Consider the following 6,344-nt stretch of genomic DNA (forward strand, 5'->3'; position numbering starts at 1 on the left):
ATTAAACAGTAAGCATTATTATTAATGACACTGATGGGGAGTCAAAACCTCAATTATATTATATATATTCTGCTTAGGAAAGCAGGGACTTTAAAATGTTTTAGATATACGAATACATTTATTAAAGAAAAGCAATTTGGTGCTCAAAAACATAAATACTTGATTTCACTTGCGTCCGTGTGAAGAGACCACCAAACAGGCTTTGTGTGAGCAATAAAGCTGTTTATTTCACCTGGGTGCAGGTGGGCTGAGTCTGAAAAGAGAGTCAGTGAAGGGAGATAGGGGTGGGGCCGTTTTTATAAGATTTGGGTAGGTAAAGGAAAATTACAGTCAAAGGGGGTTGTTCTCTGGCGGGCAGGAGTGGGGGTCACAAGGTACTCAGTGGGGGAGCTTTTGAGCCAGGATGAGCCAGGAGAAGGAATTTCACAAGACAATGTCATCAGTTAAGGCAGGAACAGGCCATTTTCACTTCTTTTGTGGTGGAATGTCATCAGTTAAGGCAGGAACCGGCCATCTGGATGTGTACATGCAGGTCACAGGGGATATGATGGCTCAGCTTGGGCTCAGAGGCCTGACATTCCTTTCTTCTTATATTAATAAGAAAAATAAAACGAAATAGTGGTAAAGTGTTGGGACGGCGAAAATTTTGGGGGGTGGTATGGAGAGATAATGGGCGATGTTTCTCAGGGCTGCTTCAAGCCGGATTAGGGGCGGTGTGGGAACCTAGAGTGGGAGAGATTAAGCTGAAGGAACATTCTGTGGTAAGGGGTGATATTGTGGGACTGTTAGGAGAAACATTTGTCATTTAGAATTATTGGTGATGGCCTGGATACAGTTTTGTATGAATTGAAAAACTAAACAGAATAAGAGAAGGAGAAAAACAGGTATTAAAAGACTAACAATTGGGAGGACCTAGGACATCTAATTAGAGAGTGCCTAAGGAGGTTCAGCATAGCCTTTCCAGTAAAGATTACTTATTTACTTTAAGAATTAAGAGTGGTGGTTTGGGGATAGCACCAGGAGGTATCAGCTGTGATGGCTTGGAGAAACAGTGTAAACCGGCAGTGTAAACAAGAGCAGGGCATGTATGAGTATTTGAGAACGGTGAATAGGAGTATGACTAGACAGAAGAGAGTAGGGATGACAAGTCTTTTGGGGCACAATCTAAGTTGGTCTGGTGTCTGGAATGAGACTGGGGCCTAATAAAAAGGAGCATCTATACGGGAGTTGAAATGGGCTGTACTTTGTAGCATTTTGAGGACAGGCCTGAATTCTGAGAAGGGGAAGTGGTAAAAGTATTGTCTATTCCTTTTTAAGTTGGTGGCTGAGCTTGGTAAGGTGTGTTTTTAAAAGACCTTTAGTCTGTTCTACTTTTCCTGAAGACTGAGGACTGTAAGGGATATAAAGGTTTCACTGAATACTAAGAGCCTGAAAAACTGCTTGGCTGATTTGACTAATAAAGGCTGGTCTGTTATCAGACTGTATAGAGGTGGGAAGGCTAAACTGAGGAATTATGTCTGACAGAAGGGAAGAAATGACTGTGGTGGCCTTCTCAGACCCTGTAGGAAAGGCCTCTACCTATCTAGTGAAAGTGTCTACTTAGACTAAGAGGTATTTTAGTTTTTGTGACTTGGGGCATGTTGAGTAAAGCTAATTTGCCAGTCCTGGGCAGGGGAAATCTTTGAGCTTGATTGATGTGTAGGGAAGGGAGGGGGCCTGAATAATCCTTGAGGAGTAGTAGAATAGCAGATGGAACACTGAGAAGTTATTTCCTTGAGGATAGATTTCTACGATGGAAAGGAAATGAGAGGTTCTAAGAGGTGGGCTAGTGGTTTGTACTATAGCATAGCCTGCCTTTGCTGGTGTGTGGCGATTAGGCCTGGTGGAACTGCCATCAATAAATCAAGCGTGATCAGGGTGAGGAACAGGAAAGAAGGAAATATGGGGAAATGGGGTGAATGTCAGGTGAATCAGAGAGATACAGTCATGGTGTGGTATCAGGTGTGGTATCAGGAATAATGTGGGAGGCTGGATTGTAGTCCGGGCCAGGAACAATGGTAATTGTGAGACTTAACAAAGAGTGAGTACAGCTGAAGGAGCCGGGGAGCAGAAAGTATATGCGTCAGGTATGAGGAAGAAAATAGATTTTGGAAGTTATGAGAAATGTAGAGTGAGTTGAGCATAGTTTGTGATTTTGAGGGCCTTTAAAAGTATTAGGGCGGCAGCAGCCACTGCATGGAGACATGATGGCTAGGCTAAAACAGTAAGGTCAAGTTGTTTGGACAGAAAGGCTACAGGGTGCGGTCCTGGCTCTTGTGTAAGAATTCTGACAGCACTAACCATGCCTAGGAAGGAAAGTTGTTGTTTTGTAAGGGATTGAGGTTTGGGACATTAATCGGACATGATCAGCAGGGAGAGCACGTGTGTTTTTATGAGAATTATGCTGAGATAGGTAATAGATAAGGAAGATATTTGGGCTTGATTGAAGTAATGGGGGCTGTCTGTGAAGCTTTGCGGCAGTACAGCCCAGGTAATTTGCTGAGCCTGATGGGTGTCAGGGTCAGTCTAAGTGAAAGCGAAGAGAGACTGGGATGATGGGTGCAAAGGAATAGTAAAGAAAGCATGTTTGAGATCTAGAACAGAATAATGGATTGTGGAGGGAGGTATTGAGAATAGGAGAGTATATGGGTTTGGCACCATGGAGTGGATAGGGAAAACAATTTGGTTGATAAGGCATAGATCCTGAACTAACTTGTAAGACTTGTCTGGTTTTTAGGACAGGTAAAATGAGGGAATTGTAAGGAGAGTTTATAGGCTTTAAAAGGCCATGCTGTAGCAGGCGAGTGATAACAGGCTTTAATCTTTTCAAAGCATGCAGTGGGATGGGATATTGGCATTGAGCGGGGTAAGGGTGATTAGGTTTTAATGAGATGGTAAGGGGTGCATGATCGGTCACCAAGGAGGGAGTAGAGGTATCTTATACTTGTGGGTTAAGGTGGGGGAATACAAGAGGAGGACGCAAAGGAGGCTTTGGATTGGGAAGAAGGGCAGCAGTGAGATGTAGCTGTAATCCAGGAATAGTCAGGGAAGCAGATAATTTAGTTAAAGTGTCTCGGCCTAATAAGGGAACTGGGCAGGTGGGGATAACTAAAAATAGTGCTTAAAAGAGTATTGTCAAAGTTGGCACCAGAGTTGGGGAGTTTTAAGAGGTTTAGAAGCCTGGCTGTCAATACCCACAACAGTTATGGAGGCAAGGGAAACAGGCCCTTGAAAATAAGGTAATGTGGAGTGGGTAGCCTCCGTATTGATTAAGAAGGGGATGGACTTACCTTCTACTGTGAGAGTTACTTGAAGCTCGGCGTCCATGATGGTCTAGGGGGCTTCTGAGGCGATCAGGCAGCATCAGTCTTCAGCCGCTAAGCCAAGAAGATCTGGGAAGGAGTCAGTCAGAGAGCCTTGGGCCAGAGTTCCAGAGGCTCTGGGAGTGGCTGCCAGGTGAGTTGAAGAGTCCGATTTCCAGTGGGGTCCTGCACGGATGGGACACGGCTCAGGAGGAATCCTGGGCTGCGGGCATTCCTTGGCCTGGTGGCCAGATTTCTGGCACTTGTAGCAAGCTCCTGGGGAAGGTGGTTCTGGAGGAATGCCTGGCCGCTGCGGTTCAGGCGTTTGGAAGTTCTTGTGTGCTGGAGATGTGGCTGGGGTTTGTCTCACAGTGGAGGCAAGGAATTGCAACGTTTTTCTATTATTGTACACCTTGAAGGCAAGGTTAATTAAATCCTGTTGTGGGGTTTGAGGGCCGGAATTTAATTTTTGGAGTTTTATTTAATGTCGGGAGCAGATTGGGTAAGAAAATGTATTTTGAGAATAAGACGGCCTTTTGACATTTTAGGGTCTAGGGCTGTAAAGTGTCTCAGGGTTGCTGCCAAACAAGTCATGAACTGGGCTGGATTTTTATATTTGACGAAAAACAGCCTAAACACTATCTGATTTGGGATAAAGAAAAAGGAGCATTAACCTTGACTATGCCTTTAGCTCCGGCCACCTTTTTAAGAGTAAATTGCTGGGCAGGTGGGGGAGGGCTAGTCACAGAACGAAACTATAAGCCAGACCAGGTGTGAGGAGGGGAGGTGATAAAAGGATTATAGGGTGGAGGAGCGGAGGCTGAGGAAGAATTGGGACCTAGCTCGGCCTGGCAAGGAGCAGCCTGGGGAGGAGGGGAGAGGTCAGATTGGTCTGTAGAAAAGGAAGATTAGAAAGACTCAGCGACGCTTGGGGTTGGGACTGAGGGGACAGATGGGAGGAAAAGAAGGAAGATTTGGGATGAGCTGAATTGGGAACAGAGACTAGAGAGGGACCAATGTGTAAAAGAATGCCTGGATGTCAGGCACTTCAGACTATTTTCCTATTTTATGACAAGAATTATTTAGATCTTGTAGGATGGAAAAATTGAAAGTGCCGTTTTCCGGCTATTTGGAACTACTGTTGAGTTTGTATTGGGGTCAAGCGGCATTGCAGAAGAAAATAAGATGCTTAGATTTTAGGTCAGGTGAGAGTTGAAGAGGTTTTAAGTTCTTAAGAACACAGGCTAAGGGAGAAGAAGGAGGAATGGAAGGTGGAAGCTTGCCCATAGTGAAGGAGGGAAGCCCGGAGAAAAGAGTAGAGACACAGAGAAGGGGTGGGGGGTTCTTGCCCTCCAGAAAAGCAGAGAAGGGGTCGGGTTGCAGAGATACCAGGTCGGGGTGTGGAAATAAGGGATCGGGGTGCAGAGATATAAGAGGTTGGGGCACAGAAATAAGGGATTGGGGCACAGAGATACAAGAGGTTGGGGCGCAGAAATAAGGGATCAGGGCGCAGAGATATAAGAGGTCGGGGCATGGAAATAAGGGATCGGGGTGCAGAGATATGAGGTTGGGATACTTGCCCCTCCCCCAGAAAAGTGGGACTTGCCACTCAGGGTGAAGGAGAAGGGGTTGGGGGTTTCTTGCCTGCTAGAAAGGTGGAGAAGGGGTAGAGACATGGAGAGAAGGGGTTGGGGTACTTGCCTTTCCTTCAGAAAAGCAGGACTTGCTGCTAAGGGTGAAGGACCAAGGCAGGCGTCCCTGCGTGGTCTGACACCTCTGAAATGTGGGTGAATAATCAAGAGAGGCGTCCCTGCAATGATTAAACACCAAGGGAAGGCTGCCTTCCCAGTCCGTGACTGGCGCCGGAGTTTTGGGTCCACGGATAAAATGTGTCTCCTTTGTCTCTACCAGAAAATGAAAGGAATTGAAATTAAGAGAAGGGAGAGATTGAAGAGTGGAAAGGAGAAAGTGGTTGAGGGATAGTGAGAGAGGTTGGAGAAGAGAGTAAGAGGCCGCTTACTGGATTTAAAATTGGTGAGATGTTCCTTGGGCTGGTGGGTCTGAGGACCTGAGATCGTAGGTGGATAGGTGGATCTTTTTCACAGAGCAAAGAACAGGACAGGGGATTGATCTCCTAAAGGAGGTACCCTGATCCAAGTCACGGCACCAAATTTCATGCGCGTCCGTGTGAAGAGACCACCAAACAGGCTTTGTGTGAGCAATAAAGCTGTTTATTTCACCTGGGCGCAGGCGGGCTGAGTCTGAAAAGAGAGTCAGCGAAGGGAGATAGGGGTGGGGCCGTTTTTATAAGATTTGGGTAGGTAAAGGAAAATTACAGTCAAAGGGGGTTGTTCTCTGGCGGGCAGGAGTGGGGGTCACAAGGTACTCAGTGGGGGAGCTTTTGAGCCAGGATGAGCCAGGAGAAGGAATTTCACAAAACAATGTCATCAGTTAAGGCAGGAACAGGCCATTTTCACTTCTTTTGTGGTGGAATGTCATCAGTTAAGGCAGGAACCGGCCATCTGGATGTGTACATGCAGGTCACAGGGGATATGATGGCTTAGCTTGGGCTCAGAGGACTGACACTTGATATCTGGAAAATTCACTGAAACAGAAAGTTGCAATTTCCAATAATTTAAATAGCATAGGCAATATTGTTCAAAAAAAACCCCAAAGACAAATACATGTATTTTTCATATATCTGCATTTATCCAATAGTATAGAATTAGCAAGAAATACACACACGTGCATGCATGCACACACACACATACACACACAGGCGCACATACCCCTCAAACAGAGCAGCCACTAACGAGAGAAGAACATCGACACTTTCTTTTGAATTTGGTTTCAGGAGTGCTTATTACATTTCTGGCTATTAGAAGGTATTGTGCTGAAATTGATTTAATACTCAAAAAATCCCTTTTTTTCCTAAATAGTCTTAACTGGAGGGATCATCTGTTTCTAAAGTTGTAAAAGTTGTCTTTGTTTAAATGAGAGGCT

At 45.4% G+C, this 6,344-nt stretch overlaps 3 annotated features.

The window, feature by feature from the left end:
- Nucleotides 588-1,135: an enhancer, noted in NCBI's record as "OCT4-NANOG-H3K27ac-H3K4me1 hESC enhancer chr2:157577018-157577565 (GRCh37/hg19 assembly coordinates)". NCBI's record gives its function as "activates a minimal SCP1, AML or CMV promoter by ChIP-STARR-seq in naive H9 embryonic stem cells {active_cell/tissue: H9 hESC(naive)}" and the evidence as "EXISTENCE:reporter gene assay evidence [ECO:0000049][PMID:30033119]".
- Nucleotides 3,543-4,101: an enhancer, noted in NCBI's record as "H3K27ac-H3K4me1 hESC enhancer chr2:157579973-157580531 (GRCh37/hg19 assembly coordinates)". NCBI's record gives its function as "activates a minimal SCP1, AML or CMV promoter by ChIP-STARR-seq in primed H9 embryonic stem cells {active_cell/tissue: H9 hESC(primed)}" and the evidence as "EXISTENCE:reporter gene assay evidence [ECO:0000049][PMID:30033119]".
- Nucleotides 5,207-6,083: an enhancer, noted in NCBI's record as "OCT4-NANOG-H3K27ac hESC enhancer chr2:157581637-157582513 (GRCh37/hg19 assembly coordinates)". NCBI's record gives its function as "activates a minimal SCP1, AML or CMV promoter by ChIP-STARR-seq in naive H9 embryonic stem cells {active_cell/tissue: H9 hESC(naive)}" and the evidence as "EXISTENCE:reporter gene assay evidence [ECO:0000049][PMID:30033119]".

Source organism: Homo sapiens, chromosome 2 (genome assembly GCF_000001405.40).
Source record: "Homo sapiens chromosome 2, GRCh38.p14 Primary Assembly".
NCBI classification, from domain to species: domain Eukaryota; kingdom Metazoa; phylum Chordata; class Mammalia; order Primates; family Hominidae; genus Homo; species Homo sapiens.